The 25115-nt window shown below is 52.2% G+C and overlaps 2 protein-coding genes and 1 long non-coding RNA gene across 10 annotated transcripts, besides 6 other annotated features; 1 reads left to right on the top strand and 2 right to left on the bottom strand.

Moving 5' to 3' along the window:
• Nucleotides 1–17268, bottom strand: LRRC3C (leucine rich repeat containing 3C). 2 transcript variants are annotated; one of them, NM_001195545.2, is made up of 4 exons: nt 17186–17268; nt 9106–9198; nt 3451–3557; nt 1–1067 (listed from the first exon to the last, which is right to left on the bottom strand). In NM_001195545.2, the coding sequence occupies exons 3-4, from the start codon at nt 3474–3476 to the stop codon at nt 266–268; spliced, it is 828 nt and encodes a 275-aa protein (NP_001182474.1). In that variant the 5' UTR covers nt 3477–3557; nt 9106–9198; nt 17186–17268; the 3' UTR covers nt 1–265. The 2 variants fall into 2 exon arrangements, with proteins under 2 accessions (NP_001182474.1, XP_016879492.1); XM_017024003.1 differs by lacking the exon at nt 17186–17268 and adding an exon at nt 10276–10316.
• Nucleotides 6494–6543: an enhancer, noted in NCBI's record as "active region_12119". NCBI's record gives its function as "activates an Ori minimal core promoter by ATAC-STARR-seq in GM12878 lymphoblastoid cells {active_cell/tissue: GM12878}" and the evidence as "EXISTENCE:reporter gene assay evidence [ECO:0000049][PMID:35858748]".
• Nucleotides 6554–6673: an enhancer, noted in NCBI's record as "active region_12118". NCBI's record gives its function as "activates an Ori minimal core promoter by ATAC-STARR-seq in GM12878 lymphoblastoid cells {active_cell/tissue: GM12878}" and the evidence as "EXISTENCE:reporter gene assay evidence [ECO:0000049][PMID:35858748]".
• Nucleotides 16923–17534: an enhancer, noted in NCBI's record as "H3K27ac-H3K4me1 hESC enhancer chr17:38083719-38084330 (GRCh37/hg19 assembly coordinates)". NCBI's record gives its function as "activates a minimal SCP1, AML or CMV promoter by ChIP-STARR-seq in primed H9 embryonic stem cells {active_cell/tissue: H9 hESC(primed)}" and the evidence as "EXISTENCE:reporter gene assay evidence [ECO:0000049][PMID:30033119]".
• ORMDL3 (ORMDL sphingolipid biosynthesis regulator 3) lies at nt 17399–23959 on the top strand. Of its 7 annotated transcripts, NM_001320801.2 has the most exons (6): nt 18022–19377; nt 19629–19831; nt 20195–20245; nt 20775–20970; nt 21737–21888; nt 22315–23957. In NM_001320801.2, the coding sequence occupies exons 4-6, from the start codon at nt 20797–20799 to the stop codon at nt 22448–22450; spliced, it is 462 nt and encodes a 153-aa protein (NP_001307730.1). In that variant the 5' UTR covers nt 18022–19377; nt 19629–19831; nt 20195–20245; nt 20775–20796; the 3' UTR covers nt 22451–23957. The 7 variants fall into 7 exon arrangements, with proteins under 7 accessions (XP_047293049.1, XP_047293050.1, NP_001307731.1 ...); XM_047437093.1 differs by lacking the exons at nt 18022–19377; nt 19629–19831; nt 20195–20245 and adding an exon at nt 17399–17571 and having other exon boundaries at nt 20780–20970; nt 22315–23959; XM_047437094.1 differs by lacking the exons at nt 18022–19377; nt 19629–19831; nt 20195–20245 and adding an exon at nt 17399–17571 and having other exon boundaries at nt 22315–23959.
• Nucleotides 17535–18145: an enhancer, noted in NCBI's record as "H3K27ac-H3K4me1 hESC enhancer chr17:38083108-38083718 (GRCh37/hg19 assembly coordinates)". NCBI's record gives its function as "activates a minimal SCP1, AML or CMV promoter by ChIP-STARR-seq in primed H9 embryonic stem cells {active_cell/tissue: H9 hESC(primed)}" and the evidence as "EXISTENCE:reporter gene assay evidence [ECO:0000049][PMID:30033119]".
• On the bottom strand, nt 17998–18280 carry LOC124903999 (uncharacterized). The gene is made up of 2 exons (XR_007065750.1): nt 18238–18280; nt 17998–18072 (listed from the first exon to the last, which is right to left on the bottom strand). It is a non-coding gene; the product is annotated as an uncharacterized LOC124903999 (long non-coding RNA).
• Nucleotides 20097–20882: an enhancer, noted in NCBI's record as "NANOG-H3K4me1 hESC enhancer chr17:38080371-38081156 (GRCh37/hg19 assembly coordinates)". NCBI's record gives its function as "activates a minimal SCP1, AML or CMV promoter by ChIP-STARR-seq in naive H9 embryonic stem cells {active_cell/tissue: H9 hESC(naive)}" and the evidence as "EXISTENCE:reporter gene assay evidence [ECO:0000049][PMID:30033119]".
• Nucleotides 20883–21669: an enhancer, noted in NCBI's record as "H3K4me1 hESC enhancer chr17:38079584-38080370 (GRCh37/hg19 assembly coordinates)". NCBI's record gives its function as "activates a minimal SCP1, AML or CMV promoter by ChIP-STARR-seq in naive H9 embryonic stem cells {active_cell/tissue: H9 hESC(naive)}" and the evidence as "EXISTENCE:reporter gene assay evidence [ECO:0000049][PMID:30033119]".

Raw genomic sequence — 25115 nt, 5'->3', positions numbered from 1 at the left:
CTCTGTTATGGGTTTTCTGAGTCTAGCACAATCCAGGCACAGAGTAGGCACCAAAAAACTCCAGGCACCAAAGATGGTGTTGGTTAAGACGACACAGAGAGAGAGAGAGAGAACCAGCACAGGTATTTAGGGGGAATAAAGGAGGGAGGGGTGGGATGGGCTTGGGGGCAGGGGTGAAGCTGCACAGGAGGCAGAGGGGGTCAGAGCAAAGGAGAGGGCATAGGGGCAGGAGTGTGGGGTGTGGCTGGAGGAGCATCCTGGGTCATCAGACCACTGTGCTGAGGATGGAGGAGTCCTCGGAACGCACGGGCAGCACTGGGGCCCGCTTGAGGGAGCGCCTGGTCTCATCTCGGTTCTGCCACACATAATGCACCAGATAAGCCACCATGAGTGTCAGCCAGCCCCCCATGGTGACCAGCAGGGCCACATCGGTGCTCCTCCGGGCCCCACCCCACCCCGACCCACACAGCTCTTCCTCCCCTGCCAGCAGCAGGAACTCCTGCCCCACGAGGTCCGGTCGGGCTCCTGAGCCACACACGATGCCTGTCCCAGTGCCCGGCACCAGCCTCACCTGCCGGAGCACTTCCTGGAGGGCGCAGTCACAGTGCCATGGGTTTGCGGATAGGTTCACTTGGATCTGTAGCCCCACAAAGGCCTCCACGGGCACTGAGGCCAGCTGGTTGGCAGAGAGGTCGAGGTGGCGCAATGTGCCCTCCAGGCCCTGGAAAGCCGCCCCTGAGAGGTGGGCAAGGGCATTATGGGACAGATCCAACTCCTCCAGGACAGGCAGGTGCTGGAAGGCACCAGCAGGCACCGATGCCAGCTGGTTGGCATCCAGGTAGAGCTTGCGGGTGTCATTGGGGATGCCGGAGGGCACAGCACTGAGGCCTGCCTGGCTGCAGCGGAACGTCCGTTCACCTGCTTCCTTTGCCACATAACAGCCCCGGGGAGGCACCTGGGGGCTGGGCACAGTACCCCCTGTGCCTATCACCAGCAGGAGGGGCAGGAGGTGACCTGCTGTTGGGAGCATGGCCATAAATTGGCATAGTCCTGGAGTGCAGTAGGATCTGGGGAAGGAAAGGCCACATAAAGGAGGAGTGAGTCAAGAGAATCGCATGCCCCACTGCCAGCTTTCTCCTCCCGAGGTCCCTCTGGGGAGTCTTTTTGGGCTGGGGCCTCTTCTCTGGGGGCTTCTCTCAAGCCTGGGTGACTTTTTCACTTCCTTATTGGGGTCTCTCTTGATTTAAGTCTCCTCAATAGGGTCTTTTGGGTAAAGGGTCTCTTGCACTTGAAACTCTTTTAGGGTCTGTTGATTCTAGAAGGTTAATCTGTGAGGCCTTGTTGGTCATTCTGGGTCTGGGGGTTTCTAAGTTTCTGCCTCTGTCCATGTGTTGATTTCTCTCATTGGAATAAAGTCTTCTTCCCCTACCTACCTGGGTGGCTGCCAAGTGGGCTAGGTAGGCACCAGAGGGTCTGGTTGGCACTCGCGTGATGGAGACAAGGGGACGGATGAGCGACAGGGTGTCAGGGCATCCAGCTAGGCCAGGTGACTAGGTAAAATAGACCTCTGGCCCCACCTTCTATGCCCATCTACCCCTTTTCCGGGAGCATCCACCCCTCTGCCTGCCCCAGCTCTGTCCTCTCTGCTCTGTACTTCCTCCCTCCTCCTCCCCGTCCTCCTCCATTCCTCTCACCCCTGTTGGTGGCAGAGCCTTCTCCAGTGCAGATGCCCTGTCCCTGGACGTAGGCTCCCTGCTGCTGGGCTCTGGAGACCCGCTTCCTCCTCCAGAAGCCCTGTTTGCTCGTAGCTGCTGGAAGTTGGGGGCTGGGACCCAAGAGTGTTGGGTTTCCTGGCATGTGACTCTGGGCCCAGGTGTCGGATACCTGAGCCATGGTGTGGCCAGGCAATGCCAAGAGAGGGCAGATCCTGGACCCTGATGAACTCTGTTGTGGGGAGACCAGGACCCAATTCCATTCCCTGCACCAGGCTCCCCTCCCAAGGCCTTGATGCTGCCATCTTCCCTCACTCCCCAAGGCTGAAACTGCTTCCCAGAACTCCTCTTCCTTACCCAGAACCTGGCTGGGCAGAAGGATCCCTGCTTGGCAGGCCTGGCGGGCAGAACTGGGTGGGCCCCATCTCACATCCAGTGTCTCCAGCAACCTGTATTCCCCCAACTCCATTCCTCTCCCTACTCCCTTCTGCCATTCTTTCACGCCATGGCACATTCTTCCATGCTCGGTGGCCCCTTCTTCCACGGTGAGCAAACTTCCCCTAGTCTTTCCTTGGAAAACATGTCTGTCCAGGGTTCCTCATTTCCTGGCTCCTCGCAGTGCCCAGACCTCCTGCCTGCCAGGGGTGCTGTGGTTCAATTTCAGTTTGTTCTCTGCGTGGTAGATTGATTGCTTCTCTAGGAGTTGGAAGGAGTTCTTTAAGGCACCTGAAGCCTGATGTGGTCATCTCTGAGTTTTCCTGCTGATTTTATGATCTGGATGAGAACTGACTCAGGTTCTCTCAGTTTGCTAGAGCCCTGGACTCTCAGGTTGGCACTTTGAACTCTCCCTCAGGCCTGGGCACCAAAGATGGCTTGGATGACTTGTTCCCCCAGGGTGTCCCTATCCCAGGCATCATTTGCAGGCCACGCCACTCCGTGATACCACCCTCTCCTAATGTTCACTGGGTAGTGGGAAGGAAGGATTTCAAGGCAGAAGATGAGATTAGTGTGTGACCTGGGCATGTCACCTGACACTGCTGCAGGGTTGGGAGGACCCGCCAGGGTTGAGTGGATGTGAAGGTACTTTGTGAAGTGCTGTGCAAAGGCTAGTTGTTAGGATTACTGACTTCCAGAACACATCATGGTCTTCCTCCATGATTTCATTACCCACGCCAGGCTTTTCCCCTTCACCTCCTCTCGTATGCTGTGCAGGGGCAGAGGTGACAAAGGGTCATAGATGTGATCCATGTGGATGACCCATCTCATTCCTTAGCCCATGGTGGCTTATCCCCTGCAACTCCCTTGACCCTCAAGTCCAACCACATGGTGCCTCCTATGGCACCATCCTACCCACACTATCTCCAGTTCGGTGCTGGGATTCAGAGCCTCAATGATTGATAGAGCTCAAAGGAAGGGACCAGCCAGTTGATCCCTCCTTAGTTTGCAGACCGGTAAACTGAGGCCCAGAATGTGACCAGAGTTACACAATGAGTCAGTGGCCAAAGACCAGAGCCCAGTTTTCTAACTCCTTGTCCAACCACTTTCCATTGCCTGCTAGCAGCTCTTACCTCTGTGCCTCTCTGCCACACATACCAATACCCTACATCCTTGCACGTTGAGCCTGATGGTACCCACGGTATTGTATTGTACGGAACCTGGAAGCCCTCCTGCCAGGTCAGAGAGGTGGAAGAGAACAGGAGAGTGGGGTGTCACAGAGACTAGGGGTGGATATACTTACACGAAGGAAGATGAGGTCATACGCATTGGAGACCTTTCTGAGAAGGATTTTTCTTGCTGGATTTTGGAAGACTATGGGTGACCAGGACTGGACACGGAATTGTAGAGCTGAGTGCAAAATAAAAATGGGGTGTGTGTGGGGGGGTCCCTTGTTTCAAAAACCTGTTAAGAATTTCTTCCTTTTTTTTTTTTTTTTTTTTTAGATAAAGTCTCACTCTGTGGCCCAGGCTGGAGTGCAGTGCCACAACCTTGGCTCACTGCAACCTCTGCCTCCCAGGTTAAAACGACTCTCCTGCCTTAGTCTCCCGAGTAGCTGAGACTACAGGTGCCTGCCGACCAAACCCGGCTAATTTTTGTATTTTTAGTAGAGACAGGGTTTCACCATATTGGCCAGGCTGGTCTTGAACTCCCGACCTCTAGTGATCCACCCACTTCGGCCTCCCAAAGTGCTGGGATTACAGATGTGAGCCACCACACCCAGGTGAAAACTTAAGAATTTCAAGGCCTTGCCAGGTATGGTGGCTCACGCCTGTAATCCTAGCTCTTCGGGAGGCCGAGGTGGGTGGATCACTTGAGGCCAGGAATTTGAGACCAGCCTGGCCAATGTGGCGAAACACCATCTCTACTAAAAATACAAAAAATTAACTGGGCTGAGGTGGCACACACCTGTAATCCCAGCTATTTGGGAGGCTGAGGCACGAGAATCACTTGAACCCAGGAAGCAGAGGTTTCACCGAGCCTGGGTCGTGCCACTTGACTCCAGCCTAGGTGACGCATTAAGACCCTGTCTCAAAAAAAAGAATTTCAAGGCTGGGTGCAGTGGCTCATGCCTATAATCTCAGCACTTTCGGAGGCCAAGGACCAAGGAGCCTCATGAGTTTGAGACTGGCCTGTGCAACATAGTGAAACCTCGTCTCTCCAGAAAAAAAAAAAAAATTGTCCAAATGCACTTTCTACAAAAAGAAAAATAAATTAGCAGACCATGGTGGTGCATACTTTAGTCCTAGCTACTCGGGAGGCTGAGGTAGGAGGATGGCTTGAGCCTGGGAAGTGGAGGCTGCAGTGAGCTGTGATTGCACCACTGCACTCTAGCCTGGGTGACAGAGTGCGACTCTGTCTCTAAAAAATAAAAATAAAAAAGAATTTTAAGATGACGACAGCAGCAGAGTGTAAAACCAAGTGCAGAGCTCTTGTGAGCACAGGGCATGAGGTCTTGTGGGACCTCGTCAGCCGCATGCCTGTGAGGCTGGCCCTGTAGGTTACCTTTGAACAAGCAGTTTCAGAAGCATGATGGGGACCAGACCAGATGGTAGGATGCCAGATGATATCATCTCTGAGGATGTACTCACCACAGACTTATTCCTGTGATGTCAACAGGGGAATTTTGCAGACTCACATTTGTCTAAGGAATCAGATAACTTTCTACACTTAGGCAGGAGAAGCAACAAGCAAACCTTTTCTCTGAGGGCCGGACACTCTGCTGCTGGCTACTTGGTGTCCATTTCGGGACTGTAGCTGAATGTGGGACAGAAAGCTGAGCAATCCTCCCTTTCCCCCTGTTCCTCTCTCACACTGGGCAGGGGCTTTAACTGAGGCACAAGAATTGAGCCTGGCTGTTGATGGAGGGTTATTTCCTTCTAAGACTAGGGCAGCTTCCAGGAAAAGAGTGGAACTAGGGTGTCCAGCACAGCAGCTGTGGGAGAAGCAGGAGCCCAGCTGGAGCTGCAGATGTGGTTAATTAAGGGAGTCTGAGTGCAAACTCGGTGAAGGAGGGAGATCTGGGGGGAAGGAGGAACCACACTTAGGACAGTGCACACTGCCCACTAGGGGCTGCAGAATTGGAGCAGAAATTCTCTGCCATCCATTTATTTGTTTATTCATTCAGTGAGGATTTCCTGTGAGCCTTATGTGCTAGTTGAAGGGGACATAGACAGGGTTCTTAAGGTGCTGGGTCTATGGCAGGGTTCTCAAAACACCCTGCACATTCAAATCACTTGGGGAGCTTTTACAGATTAGTTATGCTGGGGCTTCATCTGGACCAATTACATTAAAATCTCTGTGCATGGGGTCTAGGCACTGGTTTCTTTCGAAAGCTCCTCAGGTATGTCTAACGAGCAGCCTGAGTTGAGAATTGATGGTCTGGAGGGAGGCACAGACATGTCTCCACAATGCTTTGATGTGCTGCCTGCATTAATTGATGTTTGTACAGGGAGCTGTGAAGCACAGAGAGAGAATAAGTATTAATAACATGGCAGAATCATCCCTTCCCTCCTACTACCAGATTAACACACATGGCTTTGGGAGTGGCAATGCACTCAGTCCTTGATGATTCAACCTGATTGATCTCAGCCCATCAGAAATCCTGTTGCCTACTTCTTCAATCTCCTTTGCAGCTGAGGGTGGCCCAATTCTGGTCAATGACATCTAAGCAGAAGTCCGCAGAATAGGTTTGTGGGACAGTCTTTGATTTGCTGGTAAGAGAGGATAGGGCTGGGCTCTGCTCCTCTCCCTACCTTTTTTTTTTTTTTTTTCTTTGAGATGGAGTCTCTCTCTGGAGTGCAGAGTCTGGAGTCTCTCTCTGAGTGCACCCAGGCTGGAGTGCAATTGCATGATCTCGCTTCACTACAACCTTCACTTCCCAGATTCAAGTGATTCTCCTGCCTCAGCCTCCTGAGTAGCTGGGATTACAGGCCTGCATCACCACACCCAGGTAATTTTTGTATTTTTAGCAGAGATGAGGTTTCGCCATGTTGGCCAGGCTGGTCTTGAACGCCTGACCTCAGGTGATCCACCTTCCTTGGCCTCTGAAAGTGCTGGGATTACAGGTGTGAGCCAGTGCACCAGCCTTTTTTTTTGAGAGAGGGTCTCACTGTGTTGCCCGGGCTGGAATGCAAACACAGCTCACTGCAGCCTTGACCCCCTACCAAACTCAAGCAATCTTCCTGCCTCAGCCTTCTATGTAGCTGGGACCACAGACATGTGCCACCACAACCAGCCAATTTTTTTTTTTTTTTTTGTAGAGATGAGGGTCTCACTTTGTTGCCTAGGCTGGTCTCAAACTCCTAAGGCTCCTGCCTTGGCCCCCTGCAAAAAGTGCTGGGGATTACATGCGTGAGCCACCGTGCCTGGCCCCTACTTTGAACATGAAAGGGTCAACTCAGGCCATCTCGTGGCCATGAGACAACAAAGCATAAAGGGAGGGTTGAGTATTACTGAGATGTTGGCCTGGAAATCGCTGAGCTACTCAACCAACACCAGCAACTGCCACCTCTAGACTCAATACGTGAGAAAGAAAACCCCCTAACTTCAGTGCTTCTCAACTTGGCTGCACACTGGTATATAGGCAGTTTTGAAAACTGCTGATGCCTGGGTACACCCATGTGGCATGTGTCTGGTAATGGAGATTTTTTTTTCTTGTTGAGACAGAGTCTCACTCTGTCGCCCAGGCTGGAGTGCAGTGGCACCATCTCGGCTCACAGTAGCCTCTGCCTCCTGGGTTCAAGAGATTCTCCTGCCTCAGCCTCCCAAGAAGCTGGGATTACAGGCACACGCCACTATGCCCAGCTAATTTTTGTATTTTTAGTAGAGACGGGTTTTCTCCATGTTGGCCAGGCCAGTCTCGAACTCTTGACCTCAGGTGATCCACTTGCCTCAGCCTCCCAAAGTGCTGGGATCACAGGAGTGAGCCACCGTGCCTGGCCAGGTGATGGGAATTTTCAAAAGCTCCTCAGGTGATTCTAATGGCAACCTAGGGTAAGAATCATTATTTGGGTTTTCTGTTGATTTCTGCTGAGAGCATCCTTAACTGTACACTAGCTTTTCCAGGGTATAATCAAGGAAGGCTTCACCAAGGAGTGACATTTGATCTGGGCTTTCAAGGCTGGGTTAATCAGGTGGAGAAGCAGAATGTGCAAGAGCAAGGGAGCATGAAATGGCTTGGCTTCCAGATCACTGCGTGGATGGAGGGGGTGGTGGCAAAGGCCAGGGGTAAAGAAGTAAAAAGGGAGCAGATCCTTGTGGCTTGCACGCCATGGATGCATTGGGACTTGATTCCGTGGCTTATGGATTAAAAAGGTTTTATTTAGTTTTTATTATTTTATTTATTTATTTTTTTGAGACGGAGTTTCACTCTTGTTGCCCAGGCTGGAGTGCAATGGCATGATCTCAGCTCACTGAAACCTCTGCCTCCCAGGTTCAGGCGATTCTCCTGCCTCAGCCTCCGGAGTAGCTGGGATTACAGGCACCCGTCACCACACCCGGATAATTTTTGTATTTTCAGTAGATACGGGGTTTCACCATGTTGACCAAGCTGGGCTTGAACTTCTGACCTCAGGTTATCTGCCTGCCTTGGCCTCCCAAGGTGCTGGGATTACAGGCGTGAGCCACTGCGCCCGGCCTATTTATTTATTTTTTTTAGACAGAGTCTCACTCTGTCACCCAGGCTGGAGTGCAGTGGCTTGATCTCGGCTCACTGCAATCTCTGCCTCCTGGGTTCAAGCAATTCTCCTACCTCAGCCTCCTGAGTAGCTGGGATTACAGGCGTGCACCACCATGCCCAGCCAATTTTTTTTATTAATGTTATTATTTTTTTAATAGAGACGGGGTTTTACCATGTTGTCCAGGCTAGTCTTGAACTCCTGACCGCAAGTGATCCTCCAACCTCAGCCTCCCAAAGCGCTGGGATTACAGGTGTGAGCCGCTGTGCCAGGCCAAATTTTTATTTTTATTTTTTTCGAGACGGGGTCCCACTCTGTCTCCCAGCCTGGAGTGCAGTGGTGGCATCACAGCTCACGGTAACTTCAACCTCCCCAGGCTCAGGAGATCCTTCCACCTCAGCCTCCCAAGGGATTACAACCAGAGGTGCATGCCACCATGCCCAGATATTTTTTTTTTTTTTTTTTGTATTTTTGTGTAGAGATGAGGTTTGGTCATATTGAGCAGGCTGGTTTCAAACTCCTGGGTTCAAGTGATCCACCCTCCTCGACTTCCCAAAGTGTTGGGATTACAAGCGTGAGCCACCGCATCTGGTCGGATTGAAAGGTTTTAAAATTAGATTTGATGTCTGGATCACTCTGTTGGTTGTGTCGGGGATGTATTGGTGGCAGGAAAACCAGTTATGGCAAAGGTCTAGGTGTGAGATGATAAAGACCTGAGGGACACATGGCATGGGTCTGGAAAAGCCATCACCGGGGAGTCTCACGCTCTGTCTTGGCCTGTGAAGTGCCTGGGAAAATTCTCGGGCTAGGCCCAAGACCAGCAGATGTTTATGCCACGGGGCACATCCTTTCTGTTTTCTGGACCCTCACAGTCTCTGAGATCCCTTCTAGCCTGATGCTCCACGTGTCTAGAATGGCAGGCAGGGAAGAGACTGAGGCATGGCAGGGCCCTGGCTCCCAAGTTCAGGGCTCAGGAAAGTGAGCCTCTTAGCCTCCCACCCTCGGCAGTCTGAGTCACAGCTCCTCCCTCCAAGGGTGGTAACTCTATATCCCCAATATGTGACCACAGGGGAAAGAAGTTCAGCAGGCCTCCATCCCCTTCCCTCCCTGATGTTGGAGACCTCCAGGTCCAGCCTGGATGGGGGGATAACTGAAAGGAAAAAGATAGATAGATAGGTAGGTAGATAGATAGATAGAGAAGATAGATAAGGAAGGGCTACCTTCTTTATCAGGTCAGCCAGGGACCCGTCTAATGCCAGGTTACTGGGCAGTTTCGCGGAGAGGGCAACAAAGGCCTCTGCTATTGTTGTTCCCTGTAGAAAAGAGCAAGGGGTGTATACATACACTTCATGCTGCCATGCTTGGAGATACTGTCTCATTTACTTAACACATATCTGAGCATGTACTGTGTACCAGGGCCTCTTAGGCATTGGGGATTCAGAGTTGTTTTTTTCTTTTGTTTGAGACAGGTCTCGTTCTGTCATCCAGGCTGGACCACAGTGGCATGATCACAGCTCACTTGCAGCCTCAACCTCCTGGGTTCAAGCCGTCTTCCCACCTCACCCTCCCAAGTAGCTGGGACTACAGGCGCACACCACCACACCCAGCTAACTTTTGTATTTTTGTGTAGAGCCACCGCGCCTGGCTGAGAACTAAATGTCCCCCAGCCAATGAGGGAAGACTGGTGTGTGCACAAATATAGCCCTCCGATCACCTAAGGGAAGGCTTGGGTTGAGGGATCCGCCAGGGTCACAGCAGCCTGGAGGATGAAGCAGTGGACTCTGCTTGGACACTGGGGAAGGCTGCACCGAGAAGGTGACAGGTGAGGTAGGCCTTGAGGGGTGTATAGGAGTCCATCAGATGGAAAAGGGTACGAGGCTGAGGCAAGAACAAGGGAGAGCTGTGTGGCTGTGGTCTGGGACGTGCAGTTCTGTCAGAGGCGTGTGAACCAGAGCAACTCCGTCTTAAATAGAAGCTGGGTAAAATGAGGCTGAACCCTACAGTTAAGGCATTCTAAGTCACAGGATGAGATAGGAGGTCGGCATAAAATACAGGTCATAAAGACCTTGCTGATAAACCAGGTTGCAGTAAAGGAGCTGGCCAAAACCCATCAAAACCAAAATGGCAATGAGAGTGACCGCTGGTGGTCCTCACTGCTACACTTTCAGCCGCGCCATGACAGTTTACAAATATCATGGCAACGTCAGGAAGTTACCTTAAATGGTCTAAAAAGGGGAGCACGAATAACCCACCCCGTGTTTAGCACATCATCAAGAAATAACCATAAAAATGGGCAACCAGCAGCCCTCGGGGCTGCTCTGTCTGTTGAGTAGCCATTATTTTATTCCTTTACTTAATAAACTTGCTTTTACTTTGCACTGTGGACTCACCCTGAATTCTTTCTTGCGTGAGATCCAAGAACCCTCTCTTGGTGTCTGGATCGGGACCCCTTTCTGGTAACAGTTCCGTTACATAGTTCAGTTAACATTTATTGAGAATTCACTCTGTTCGGGAAATGCAAATGTGAGACAGGGAGCAAGTCTAGCAGCCCAGGGGGAGGTGGTTCTGTAACAGACAAATAAAGCCCTTTGCCCAGTGCCTGGAACATAGCAAACAATAATGTTTGCTGTGATTGTTACTGAGGGAGGAGCTGGCCTTAGGCAGAAGAAGGTGATCTGGGAACGGTGGCCACCCAGATTTCTAGACAGGTGAGGCTAGGAGTAGGAACTCAGTTGGTAGGGAGCTAGGGGGTCTTGTCTTGAACTTACTGTTTTTATATCCATTGCCCTTTTGATCTGAAATATTTTCAGTTTTCTAACTGCTTTTGTTCATGGGAGAGTGTCAATTGTCCATATCAAAGAATATGCAGGTTGAAGGGTTCCTAAGGTACCTCCCTGCACTTGGTTCCCCAGGGAGGTTCTTGTTCCCAGGCACAGGCTGGGGGATGGGGACCCAGTGGCCCTGACCAGTTCAGCCCTTTCTCTCCACAGCCCAAAATAGCCAACTACAGGACTGGGCGAGGGAGGCAGAACAGAGTGCCCGCTGGCGATGCTGCCAGTCCCGCACCCACTCCTGGCTTCTGACTGGCTCAGTAGTTCTCAGGAGGGTCATTCGCTGCTCCTTTGTCTGCTTAACATCTGCCTTCCCCTCCCCCTCCTTCTTCCCACCACATGCCTGGGGTATCCCCCACCCAAACAAAAATAAAAACACAACTGTCAATGAAATAAGCAGTTCTTTCCTTCCTTGCACTTGCTCTGGACAGGACCTCACCACCCTCCCTTCAGGAAGCAGGTGGGGGAGGAGGGGAGGAGTAGGAGTGGAGAGGTGGTATTCTTTCCCCCAGGGGAAGGGGCTCTGTTTCTTTTTTCTTTTCTTTTTTTTTGAGACGGAGTCTTGCTCTGTCGCCCAGGCTGGAGTGCTGTGGCGCCATCTCGGCTCACTGCAAGCTCCGCCTCCCGGGTTCACGCCATTCTCCTGCCTCAGCCTCCTGAGTAGCTGGGATTACAGGCGCCCGCCACCACGCCCGGCTAATTTTTGTATTTTTAGTGGAGATGGGGTTTCACTGTGTTAGCCAGGATGGTCTCGATCTCCTGACCTCGTGATCTGCCCGCCTCGGCCTCCCAAAGTGCTGGGATTACAGGCGTGAGCCATCGCACCCAGCTCGAGGCACTGTTTCTTGACATCCCTTCTCCCAGCTTCTGAACACGGCCAGCAGCATCCCAGGAACATGTTCCTTGTTTATCAACCTATCTCAGCCCACAAGACGGTGTATGTCTCACAAGCAGAGGCCCGATCACCACTCCCAGATCACCAGATGAAAGCACACTGAGGCTGGGGAATGTGTCTACCTCAGCAGCCTAAGGAACTCCCAGAGGGCAGAAAGAGCCTGTGGCAGACTCATTTTGTTTTTAAACAATTTTAATAAAAAATTTAAAAGTAATACCACATTACGTGAAGTTTGAAACTAGAGAATGAAAAAGATCACCCTAAATCCCTTCATCCTGATTCAAGGTTTTTTTGTTGTTGTCTTTCTTCCTTCCTTCCTTCCTTTCTTTATTTTTTGAGACAAAGTTCCACTCTTGTTGCCCAGGCTGGAGTAAAATGGCGCCATCTCTGCTCTCTGCAGCCTCCGCCTCCCGGGTTCAAGCAATTCTCCCACCTCAGTCTTCCTAGTAACTGGGATTACAGGGGCGCGCCACCATGCCTGGCTAATTTTTGCATTTTTAGTAGAGACGGGGTTTCACCATGTTGGCCAGGCTGGTCTCGAACTCCTGACCTCAGATGATCCACCTGCCTCGGCCTCCCAAAGTGCTGGGATTACAGGCGCTAGCCACCATGCCCGGTTGTTGTTGTTTTAAGAGACAGGGCTTGCTTTATTGCCCAGGCTGGAGTGAAATAGCGAGATCATAACTCACTGCAGCCTCGAATTCCTAGCGAGATCATAACTCACTGCAGCCTCGAATTCCTTGGGCTCAAGCGATCCTCCCGCCTTAGCCTCCTGAGTAGCTGGGACTACGGGAACATGCCACCATGCCCGGCTAATTTATTTTTGTTTTTTATAGAGATGGTGGTTGGGTGGGGGGGGGGTCTCATTACGTTGCCAGGCTGGTCTTGAACTCCTGGCCTCAAGCAATCCTCCCGCCTCAGCTTCCCAAAGTGCTGGGATTACAGGCTTGAGCCACAGTGCCCGGCCCAAGGTCTGTTTTTATTTTGTTGAATTTCCATAACCTAGTAAAGTAGATGCTCAAATATCATTCAAATGTGGAATGAATTAATAAAAGGCAACACATACTGAGCACTTAATTATGTGCCAGGAATTGTTTTGAGTGTTTCATTTCACATTTACTGACCCATTTAATATCCACAACATGAGGAGGGTATTATCATGATCATCGCCATCTTCATTTACTTTATTTTTTCCGAACACCAGTGTCACTTGCCAATTCTTTTAGCAACGAGGTAACTGAAGCACAGAGAGGTTCAGTAACTTGCTTAAGGTTACACAGCTGGTAACTAGAGGAGCTGCGAGTTGAACCCTGGCAGTCTGGTGCCAGAGGATGTTACCAGTGCTGCTCTATTTTGGCTTATCTTAATCATTAACGTATATGCAGGTTTAGACTTTTTATTATGAACAGTTTTAAACATTAAAAAAGTAGAGAAAATAGCCCAGGCGTGGTGGCTCATGCCTGTAATCCCAGCACTTTGGGAGGCCAAGGTGGGCAGATCACTTGAAGTCAGGAGTTCAAAACCAGCCTGGCCAACATGGTGAAACCCTGTCTCAACTAAAAATACAAAAATTACCTGGATGTGGTGGCGTGCACCTGTAATCCCAGCCCACTCGGGAGGCTGAGGCAGGAAAATCTCTTGAACTAGGGAGGCGGAGGTTGCAGTGAGCCGAAACTGCACCACTGTGCTCCAGCCTGGGTGACAGAGTGAGACTCTGTCTCAAAAAAAAAAAAAAAAAAAAAGTATAGAAAATAATATAAGGAACTTCATGTCCTCATCACACAGCTTCCATAATTATCACCTCATGGCTCATCTTATTATTTCCCTATGGTTCCCAGTCCAGATTATTTCGAAGCAAATGCAATCACTGTATCATTTCATCCACAGATATTTTAGTATGTATGTATGTCTGAAAGGAGGACTTTTTTTTTTTTTTTTTTTTTGAGACGAAGTCTCTCTCTGTCACCCGGGGTGGAGTACAGTGGTATGATCTCGGCTCACTGCAACCTCTGCCTCCCAGTTTCAAGTAATTCTCCTGCCTCAGCCTCCCGAGTAGCTGGGATTACAGGCACGTGCCACCATGCCTGGCTAATTTTTTTCTATTTTTAGTAGAGACGGGATTTCACCATGCTGGCCAGGCTGGTCTCAAACTCCTGACCTTGTGATCTGCCTGCCTCACCTCCCAAAGTGCTGGGATTACAGGTGTGATCCAACGCACCCAGCCAAGGAAGACTTTTTTTTTTTTTGAGATGAAGTTTCACTCTTGTCTCCCAGGCTGGAGTGCAATGGCACGATCTCGGCTCACTGCATCCTCCACCTCCTGGGTTCAAGCGATTCTCCTGCCTCAGCCTCTCAAGTAGCTGGGATTATAGGCGCCTGTCACCACGCCTGGCTAATTTTTGTATTTTTAGTAGAGGCGGGGTTTCACCATGTTGGCCAGGCTGGTCTCGAACTCCTGACCTCAGGTGATCTGTCTGCCTGAGCCTCCCAAAGTGCTGGGATTACAGGCATGAGCTACCACGCCCAGCCATGGAGGACTTTTTAAATTAAAAAAACAACCTTACCACAATTCCATATCACGCCTAAACATTTAGAATTCCTTAATATCGTTGAATACCTTGTCAGTATTCAAATTTGCCTGATAACTTAATAAAATCTTTTTTTTTTTTTTTTTTTTTTTGAGACAGAGCCTTGCTCAGTCACCCAGGCTGGAGTGCCAATGGTGCAATCTTGGCTCACTACAACCTCTGCCTCCTGGGTTCAAGCAATTCTCTTGCTTCAGCCTCCTGAGTAGCTGGGATTACAGGCGCCCATCACCACACCCAGCTAGTTTTTGTAGTTTTAGTAGAGACGGAGTTTCACCACGTTGGCCAGGCTGGTGTCAAACTCCTGACCTCAGGTGATCCGCCTACCTTGGCCTCCCAAAGTACTGGGGTTACAGGCATGCGTGACCATGCCCGGCCTTTTTTTTTTTTTTTTTTTTTTTTTTTTTAAAGTCAGTTTGCTTGAATCAGGATCCAAATAAGACTTTTAGTTGATATATCATTTAATTTATTTTAATCTGTAAGTCTCTCCCCCTCTTTTTTTTCCTTTTTTTTTTTTTTTTTTTTTGAGACAGGATCTCACTCTGCTGCCCAGACTGGAATGCACTGGCACGATCACAGCTCACTGCAGCCTTGACCTCCCGGGCTCAATTGATCCTCCCACCTCAGCCTCCTGAGTAGCTGGGACTATAGACACACCACCATGCCCAACTAATTTTTGTATTTTTTGTAGACCACGGGGTTTTACCATGTTGTCCAGGTTGGTCTCGAACTCCTGGACACAAGCCTTGGCCTCTCAAAGTGCTGGGATTACAGGCGTGAGTCACCATACCTGGCCCCAGTTTTATTTGTTAAGGGAATTGGGTGTTTGTCCTAATTTTCTTCATTCTAGACTTTGCTGACTATATCCCTGGGGAATGTATGTTATGCTATTTTGTGTCCTCATCTTTTCATATAACTTAGCAAACATTCCCCATACTGCCACAGGGTTTTCACAATCTGTCCTAAATGGCTTCATACTATTCCATCCAGTGGATATACTGTAATTTTTTTCTTGGGCATTTGGTTGCTTTCAGTTTTTCACTACTATAAATATTGCTGGAATGAACATCCTGACACATTGCAGCTTTTCCTGTACATGGGATGACTTCCTTAGAATATGCTACCAAAAGTGTAATTATGGCTCTGAGGCAAGAAGAATTTTTCAGCTTCTTGGCACACAGTGACAAGTGTTTGTCCAAGGGTTTGTATGTCCCCCAGCACGAAATAAGAGAGCTGTCACTCACTCTGAATAGTGCTTAGGGCTATTCACAGCTGAAGAACGTTTGGGGAAGATATGATAATTATGAGGGCCAAGAGAGAAGGAGAAAGATGACAACAGGGACTCCCGCTAAATAAAGCAGAAAGTGATCTGCAATTTACCACAAACCTAGAGTGAGTCAGAACTCTGTTCATTCCTATTGTGAAAAAAAAATCCTCGATAACAGGAGTTATTAATAGTGCATGACATGTTCAGTAATCTTTCTGTTAGACTCTGCATTAGTCAGAACCTTATTTGAGACGTGGACTCAGTCTGGGTCACTGAACTTCATAGAGATGTCAGGAAACTGACCAAGATCCAGAGGGATCGATCAACTTGATGGAGGATGAAGAATCCCAGAGAAAAATCAAAGGAGTCAAGCAGGCACACTTCGGAAAAAACAGAGACACCTTTCTTGCCTTAATGCTGGGGAGGTTTCTGTGAAAAGAACAACACTGGGTTTGCTTATGTCTGCAGAAAGATGACTATAAGGAAAGGCACCTCCACAAACCAGGAGAAACTTCCACAGGACATAGGCAGAGCTATTTCAGACTCAGATGATTATTTCGATCTTGGAATGAGCCCTTTTGGGGCCATTGGCCCTGGAAATATTGAAGAAGCTGCCTGTTCTGCTCTGGGTGGTTCAAATACCCACCTGCCTGGTGACCACTAAGTGCCTCTGGGGGTCCCACTCCAGCTGTGTGACAACTGTTTCCTGGCAGCCCCCTGGGGAAGGAAAGGTAGGTGTAGTCCGAGTAAAGTGCTCCGCAGTTTCCCTGGGCTAGCCTTTTCCTTCCTGTTCCCTCACTTTCAGTTCAGGGTGCCATGAACTGCCATTCAGAGTCAGGTTGGCATGCCATGACATCATCTGACCTTGCTATTCCAGCCCTGCCCTGCATAGAGTGGACTTAGAAAGAAGCTGGGTAAGGAGTTGAAACTACCCAGACAAGACCTCTTGGTGACATGGAGAATGGGAGTAACCGAGGAGACCTCAAGAGCCATTTAGTTCAACCTCCTACAGTAATATTAAGTAGATTCCTACAATGCAACAGGTGCTTTACATACATTCTTTTGGGTTCCCACAACCTTGGAGGTGGGGTTTCACAGGTGTGGAATTGGAGATTAAGACAAGTAATTTGCCCAGGGTCACACTGCCAATAAAGGAGGGCCTACCCCATGTCTACCAGGCAGTAAAGTCTGTGCCCTTGCCTTTAGACGATGCAGATGTGAAAACTGCAGACCAGAGCCTCTCATTCAAAGCCACACAAGCTGACCTGAGACAGAAACTCAGGCTCCTTACTACTGATGGAGGAATCTATGATACGTAGCCTCTTCTCACGTCAGGTGCGGGGCGGCCAAGGATGTGGCCCGGTCCGGGGCAGCCTGGGCCAAGCGTGACTGAGAAGGAGAAGGCAGGCTCCGTTCCGGGCCCTCCAGACCCTCATCCCAGCCAATGTTGTGAAAAGCGCTCTCCCAGGAGGGCCCAGCAGGGCAAAGGGCCGGGCTAGTCTGTTTCTGGAGGAGCCAATCTGGGGCCAGGGCGGAGGCAGCCAGGTGCAGTGGAAAAATCCTGCAGTTGGGGTCAGAATATTTGGGTTTCGATCCAGTCTAGGACCCAGCAAAGACCTACAGAAAGTTACTTACAAGTCCGAGTCTCCTCATCTGCAAAACTGGGGCACGGATAAAATACACTTGAAGGGCACAGAAGCAAAAGTTGGAATTGTTACGCACCAAAATTCTATCATCCGATCTGACCATCACGTCACGGTACAACTTCCAACCGTGCGTCCCCGAAGAGGCCGGGAACGGAGCCCAGGAAAAACTACAACTCCCAGGAGGCGTCGGGAGGGCCGGCCCGGAGCCAGCGGAAGAAACTACAACTCCCAGAAGGCGTCGGGCGTGCCGGCGCGGGGCGGTGACGTACGGGGACCGGCGCGGAGCGCTGATTCGGCCGGAGCTGCCAGCGGGGAGGCTGCAGCCGCGGGTTGTTACAGCTGCTGGAGCAGCAGCGGCCCCCGCTCCCGGGAACCGTTCCCGGGCCGTTGATCTTCGGCCCCACACGGTGAGCCCGGAAGGAACCAAGAGGCCCCAGGGCTACGGGAGGGGCGGGAGAGAAGGTGGGGGCTGCTGGGGAGGCGCCCCGGGCTGGAGAGACGGGGGCAGAGGGAGTGGGGGGTGGAGGGAGTGCATCAGCCGAGGGGGTGCATCGGCTGGGGAGGTGGCCAAGGAATAAAGTGCGAGCGGGAGGCCGGGGGTGGAACGTCGGGAGGAGCGCCTCGGCTAGGGGTGGGAGGCGGGGAGCGGCTCGGCTTCGGGGATAAACGTTTGGCTGCCTCCAGGGCTGGGTGAACGCGTGGAGATGGCTGTGGGGTCCCGGACCGGACCGGGTTCCGAGTGCGAAGACCCAGGCTGGGGAACAGAGCGGGACCCCTCCCCCCGGCCCCGCACCCGAGGTCTCACTCAGAAAACCCCAACAACAGTGAGGACTCCGCCTCTTCGCTCCTCCTCTCCTGTGCTTAGTGCGGGTTCGCCTGGGCACTCGCTTTCCGCTCCTACCGCCCTCCCCCAGTCGGGGTGGCTGGGCCAAAGTTGAGAGGTTATCAGCTGTGGTCCTGCAGCTTGGGGGGTGGGCGGAATGGACATGGCATTGTGACGTGCTGCCCCGGACTCCCCGTTGGGGTCCCCATCCAGGCCTGGATGTTTTGTGCTCCTCTTCCAGAAGACAGGAGGTTTGCTGTTGTGAGGGCTGCTCTTTCCTGGGGGAGGGAATGGGAAGGGCTCACCTGGTGGCTGCCCTGGTGGTGCTCAGCCTTGGCTTGAGTGTCTGGCATACTGGCTGGGCCCGGATATTTGTATGTGGAGCCAAGAGGGTGGGGCGGGAAGGAGGGGGAAAGAGCTACCAGCAAAAAAGTGGTTAACACAACAGAGTTGCTGCAGGCTCTGGTTTGAGGCAGGTTATGAAACCACATCAGGGCCCAGCACTAAGCAGCCACCTGCCAGCTATGGCAGCAGAAGTTTTCGGCTCAACTCCTGTAGACCTAGTCGACCTCTGCCAGCCTCTTCTCTCTGTTTCTCCCCATCTAGGGTAGGGGCCAGTTGGTTGTTTTACTAATGGAAGTGATATGTATCCATAGTCACACGAAAGTCTCAAGAGTGTTTCCTCATTGCCAGTCTTTTTGTTAGTTTATTGATCTCTTCTTTTTCAGGGGTCTCTGGTGGTTTCCTGCTCTCAGGGCACCTAGTGTTTAGGCTTCAGGAAGAAGCTTCTGAGGGTGTTGGCTAGGACCTAGGTCTAGGCTTTTCCTAGGCTCATCAAGTTTTGTTGGCTGCCCTGTGAAAGCCAGAAAGGCGTATGGGGTCCTGTGATCTGGGATTCCCCAAGGCTTTTGGCACTCCTGGACAAATACTAGGAAGGGTTAGTGGACTTTCTATACCAGCACCCCTGTAGGTGCGGGTTACAGAGAGGTGATGGGGTGGCAGTTTCAGGTCAGACTTGGGAAGCTCTTTCCCTCTCCTTAGTCAGAGTTAAGTCCTTCAGAGCCCTCACTTGTCAGCCACATGCCGCCCTCCCCTCTCAGGTGGAGGCTTTTGCGTAGCAGCTGTCCCAGGGGCTGCTAGAGTAACTGAAGCCCCAAGGCCCTGGGAAGATAAACAATCTGAGCCAGCTCTGGCTTTCTAGATACTTGAATTTCTGTTAGGCTCAATTATCCAGCCTAGTGGGCTGCGCTGATGGGTCCCAGGAGCATCTCTTCAATCAGAATGCGCCCCAGGCTGGCGCACGGGTGTTTGCTTGTTGGGATGGCGTGTTGTGGGTCACATTTTCTCTGAGGTCTCTAAGCTTGGAGCTGTCTGAGAAGAGGAAACTTGCTCCTGTTATCCTGGAAGTAAATAACTGGCCCCTGAGGACTCAGTCTCCTGTGCAGGTTTGGCTAGGATCCTAGTCAGAGATAGATAGCATCTGGGTCTGACGGGGTTGCTGCAGGGGCGTGAGGGAGGTGGCCTTCTGGGTACTTCTAGAATATCTCCATCTGGGACTCTTTTCTGCATTCCCAGGAAAGATGGGGCTGTTACCATGGTGATGACCTTACGGTCTTTAGCAAGCAGGACCCTATCTCAGATAGGGAGGTGAGCCAGTACACAGGTGCCATCTGTCTCCACTTTCTCCTGGTCACAGGGCCCTCAGGGATCTGGGGACAGCCAAACTCTGGATAAGGGGCAGATCATTCCACCCCTTCCTTCTCTACTTCCCTCTGCTCACTGTGGGTTGCGGCCACCTCCTGGTTCCTCCTGCTGCAGGACTCCTACCGTTGGTGCTGGGCAGGGGAAGGCATGGTGCTAATATACACCTGGAAACAGGTGCTGAGAGGGGAGACTGAGGTGAGGATGGGCAGGACAGAGAAGAACGGGGGCAGGAGGGAGGCCACAGGTTCGAGTCTGTGCCCTTAGGAGACATATGTTGAGGTGGATTCCAGCTCTCTATGGGAGTTACAGGTGTTGGCCACGTTCTCTATCCTCGCCTCTCTTGTGGGGAAAAGGGCCCTGGTGGTTTGGCAGTGGAGTGGGTAGCATCACAAGGGTTGGCCTGAGTGGCTGCCAAATGGAGAAAACATCCGGATGGGTTGTTTTGTGTCACCCAGGAGGGGTGCCTTCTAGGTCTGGGCAAAGGTTGTCCCTAGTCTGTTGTTTTCTCCTTTCTTCCTCCCTTCCTCCCTCCCCACTTCCCTCTTTCTACCTGATCAGTCCTCCTAAGTTGGGGTTTGGGGAGATCCAGAATTGAAAAAATCAGAGGAGGTGAGTGGATGCAGTGACCTCAAAATAGTTCATCCACTGCTGCCTGTACCCACAGGCCTCACTTCCTTTCCCTCCTGATGGGAAGAGCTTAAGAGCAGATGTCCCACATTAGGCCTTCAGTGAGACACAGTCCAGCAGGGGTTGTGCTGAGTGAGAATTCTCTCCCTGGGGCTTTGTCGGCAGAGGGTCCTCATGGGAGTGCCATAGGGGGTGAGGCTGGGGGATGGGCCTTGACTTCTCTGCCCTGGGGCTGCGTGCCTCTTGATGACCTGTCCTCCGATGCCCTGCCAGGGCCCTGTCCCAATGGGATGATGCATGGGGCAGCCTGTTGTTTATCCCAGCCCAGCAGCAGGAAATGAGTAGAGCTAAGTCCACATGGACTTTCTCCACTTTCCATGCTTCAGAATCAAAAGAGTGGAACTGCCTGGAGTTCTCAGGGAAACAAGGGCCTGCCTCCCAGCGGGATCCGAGGGTGAGAGGGGGCAGGGAAAGCAGTGTGACCTGTCTGACCTGTGCTGCTTGTTTGCAGAACAGCAGAGAGGGGCAGCAGGATGAATGTGGGCACAGCGCACAGCGAGGTGAACCCCAACACGCGGGTGATGAACAGCCGTGGCATCTGGCTCTCCTACGTGCTGGCCATCGGTCTCCTCCACATCGTGCTGCTGAGCATCCCGTTTGTGAGTGTCCCTGTCGTCTGGACCCTCACCAACCTCATTCACAACATGGTGAGAGCCTGTCTGCTGCCTGCCCCTGCCCCTGCCCCTGCCCTGTGGGCTGCCCTTTGGCAGGGCTGAGGGATAGGAGGAGCCTGTCGGGCCTGGCCCAGGTGTCAGGGTGATGTACTGACGACATCTGCCTCCAGAGCCCAGGCCTAGCCCTTACCTCTCTGCCTTGCTCCCCCTTCTGGGTTCCTGCCCTGTGTACCATGACAGGAATCAAATCTGCAGATTTTTCCACATCTCTAGGGTGGGGTGGCTGTTGGCCTGGAAGATGTGCTCCTGAGAGCTGAACAAAGGGCTCCAGAGAGTTCCCAGGACCCGAGAGTCCTGGTGCCTAGGCTGATACAGAAATGCCCCTTTCTCAAGTTAGCTTCTCGAACCGTCTTCCACTTTTGCCCTTCTCTGCTCCCTCACCACTTGCTACCTTGCACTCTTTGTCGGGTAAGCAGGGCTTAGTCCCATCGCTTGCCTCCTCCCAACAGGCACAGGGGGCTATGAGTGGCCTGGAGGGGGGCAGCATCTCGGTGCCTATCTTGTGGCCAACTTCCACCGTGCATTCTCATGCCAGGCCTAGCCCGTCCCCCAGGGAGTCCCCTTGTTCTTCTCCTGCCATACTCCCAGCTGCTCCATCCTGACCTCCAGCCCATATCCCCCTGCCCAGCAGAGGGAGGCTCCAGATCACTGGGAGTTACTTGTGTCTGTGACTGGGTGGAGGAGCTGGGCAGGGGGGCCTTTCCCTTTTGTATCCTCTAACAAAGACTTCTTCCTCCAGGGCATGTATATCTTCCTGCACACGGTGAAGGGGACACCCTTTGAGACCCCGGACCAGGGCAAGGCGAGGCTGCTAACCCACTGGGAGCAGATGGATTATGGGGTCCAGTTCACGGCCTCTCGGAAGTTCTTGACCATCACACCCATCGTGCTGTGAGTGCCTGGGCTACAGGAAGACACCAGCAGGCAGGGCAAGGCCTGGAGGACCCCAGGGCCCAGCCATGCTTATTAACCCTGCCGTGGCTCCTGGTGTAGGGATGAACAGAGGAAGTTGGAATATTCCTGGGTCTTACACTGGACTCAGGCTTTGGGCCTCCCTGGCCCCATCTTTCCTCCATTGGAGCTTCCTTCCTGCTAGTGAGATAGGCCTACAGGCTTGGGGTGAAGCTGGGAGGTGGGGGCGGTACTGGGCCAGGAGGGGCCCCTTTAGCCTGAGAGCTCTTGCTTCTTACGCTGGTCTGGGAACCTCTTCTGTAACTCCTTAGCTGTTGGGATTCTGCCTTTCCCCTCCCAGGAAGTGAGGGAGGAAGGGGTCCTCCCAACAGTCTTTTATATCTCTCCCCACCCTTCCCCTCCCAGGTACTTCCTCACCAGCTTCTACACTAAGTACGACCAGATCCATTTTGTGCTCAACACCGTGTCCCTGATGAGCGTGCTTATCCCCAAGCTGCCCCAGCTCCACGGAGTCCGGATTTTTGGAATCAATAAGTACTGAGAGTGCAGCCCCTTCCCCTGCCCAGGGTGGCAGGGGAGGGGTAGGGTAAAAGGCATGTGCTGCAACACTGAAGACAGAAAGAAGAAGCCTCTGGACACTGCCAGAGATGGGGGTTGAGCCTCTGGCCTAATTTCCCCCCTCGCTTCCCCCAGTAGCCAACTTGGAGTAGCTTGTAGTGGGGTTGGGGTAGGCCCCCTGGGCTCTGACCTTTTCTGAATTTTTTGATCTTTTCCTTTTGCTTTTTGAATAGAGACTCCATGGAGTTGGTCATGGAATGGGCTGGGCTCCTGGGCTGAACATGGACCACGCAGTTGCGACAGGAGGCCAGGGGAAAAACCCCTGCTCACTTGTTTGCCCTCAGGCAGCCAAAGCACTTTAACCCCTGCATAGGGAGCAGAGGGCGGTACGGCTTCTGGATTGTTTCACTGTGATTCCTAGGTTTTTTCGATGCCACGCAGTGTGTGCTTTTGTGTATGGAAGCAAGTGTGGGATGGGTCTTTGCCTTTCTGGGTAGGGAGCTGTCTAATCCAAGTCCCAGGCTTTTGGCAGCTTCTCTGCAACCCACCGTGGGTCCTGGTTGGGAGTGGGGAGGGTCAGGTTGGGGAAAGATGGGGTAGAGTGTAGATGGCTTGGTTCCAGAGGTGAGGGGGCCAGGGCTGCTGCCATCCTGGCCTGGTGGAGGTTGGGGAGCTGTAGGAGAGCTAGTGAGTCGAGACTTAGAAGAATGGGGCCACATAGCAGCAGAGGACTGGTGTAAGGGAGGGAGGGGTAGGGACAGAAGCTAGACCCAATCTCCTTTGGGATGTGGGCAGGGAGGGAAGCAGGCTTGGAGGGTTAATTTACCCACAGAATGTGATAGTAATAGGGGAGGGAGGCTGCTGTGGGTTTAACTCCTGGGTTGGCTGTTGGGTAGACAGGTGGGGAAAAGGCCCGTGAGTCATTGTAAGCACAGGTCCAACTTGGCCCTGACTCCTGCGGGGGTATGGGGAAGCTGTGACAGAAACGATGGGTGCTGTGGTCCTCTGCAGGCCCTCACCCCTTAACTTCCTCATACAGACTGGCACTGGGCAGGGCCTCTCATGTGGCAGCCACATGTGGCGTTGTGAGGCCACCCCATGTGGGGTCTGTGGTGAGAGTCCTGTAGGATCCCTGCTCAAGCAGCACAGAGGAAGGGGCAAGACGTGGCCTGTAGGCACTGTCTCAGCCTGCAGAGAAGAAAGTGAGGCCGGGAGCCTGAGCCTGGGCTGGAGCCTTCTCCCCTCCCCAGTTGGACTAGGGGCAGTGTTAATTTTGAAAAGGTGTGGGTCCCTGTGTCCTCTTCCAGGGGTCCAAGGGAACGGGAGAGGTCACTGGGCCTGTTTTCTCCCTCCTGACCCTGCATCTCCCACCCCGTGTATCATAGGGAACTTTCACCTTAAAATCTTTCTAAGCAAAGTGTGAATAGGATTTTTACTCCCTTTGTACAGTATTCTGAGAAACGCAAATAAAAGGGCAACATGTTTCTGTTTCCCTGTGTCTGGCCTTCGCTTCCTGGAAGGCTGAGGGGAGGGGGCAGGGGTGTGGGCAGCGGCTCCCGCTGAGGTGCTGGTGGGGCATCAGTGCAGCTCTGACGGTGGCAGGAGGGGCGCTGGGACTGCTGGGCTTTCTGCTGGCTTCAGCAGGGAAATCCCCCAAGGGGGCTGTGAGGGAACTGGCGGCGGCAGCGGTAGTCAGAGAGCAAAATTCTCTGTGCTTTTGCCTGGCTGTTCTCCGACAGGTCTTGCGCCTTGGCCCCAGAGGCTGGGGTGACCTGTGCCATGGCCAAGGAGGGGGACACTCCAGCAATGGTTTACACGTGGAGCCAGGGTCCCAAGTGGTGCTCAGTCCTTCCCAGTGAATCCCCAGCCCTTCTCCAGTTTCTCACTTCTCTCCCCAAGGCCTTTCCCCAGTCACCTCTCCCTTGGGAGCGCTGCGTTTCCTTCTGGCCTTTCAGTGGAGGGGACTTTTCATACTTCCTCCTCCCACCATAAGCCTGAGTGGCAGGGGAAGAGGTTCTGGGGACTTTCTGAGGCCAACATGGCTAGGAGAGAGAGGAGTCCTATAGCAAGGAATCCTTATCTCACGAGGGCACTGACCTTCCAGCGTGTTCTGGGGAGTATCAGCTGCTATTCCCAGGAGAGGCACAAAGTCCCAGGTAGAAGGGAGGAGCTGTCCCCAGCAGCCTGGGGTCTCTAGCCCCGGTCCACCATCACAGCACCCTTGGAGTGAGTGTCAGGGAGTGTGGGATATTTGCCCAAGTCCAGCCACCACCCCTGTCCGAGTAGAGCCCACACAGTATTGGAAAGAGAAATATAGCCACTGCTTTCACTCCTGGGAGTAGGGGTGCCCTGGTTGCTTTCACCAGCCTGCAAGAGTATAGTCAGGGTGAGGTGCTGGAGAACATCAACAACGATCTGGGTTCAAATCCCAGCTTTGCCACTTATTAGCCATGTTGCTGTGTCAACTTCTCTGAGCTTCAGTTTATTCCACTGTTGTGTAAAGATAATGCCTCTTAGGGCTGTTGTGAGCATTAGCACAGTGCCTGGCATATAGTAAATACTCAATATATGGTAGCCATATTATTATAATTGTAATTGTTACTACCACCACTGTCGTCTATTTATTTATTTATTTATTTATTTTTTTG

The sequence above is a fragment of the Homo sapiens genome, chromosome 17 (assembly GCF_000001405.40).
Source record: "Homo sapiens chromosome 17, GRCh38.p14 Primary Assembly".
In the NCBI taxonomy this organism is placed as follows: domain Eukaryota; kingdom Metazoa; phylum Chordata; class Mammalia; order Primates; family Hominidae; genus Homo; species Homo sapiens.
This window is presented reverse-complemented; position numbering and strand designations above follow the sequence as displayed.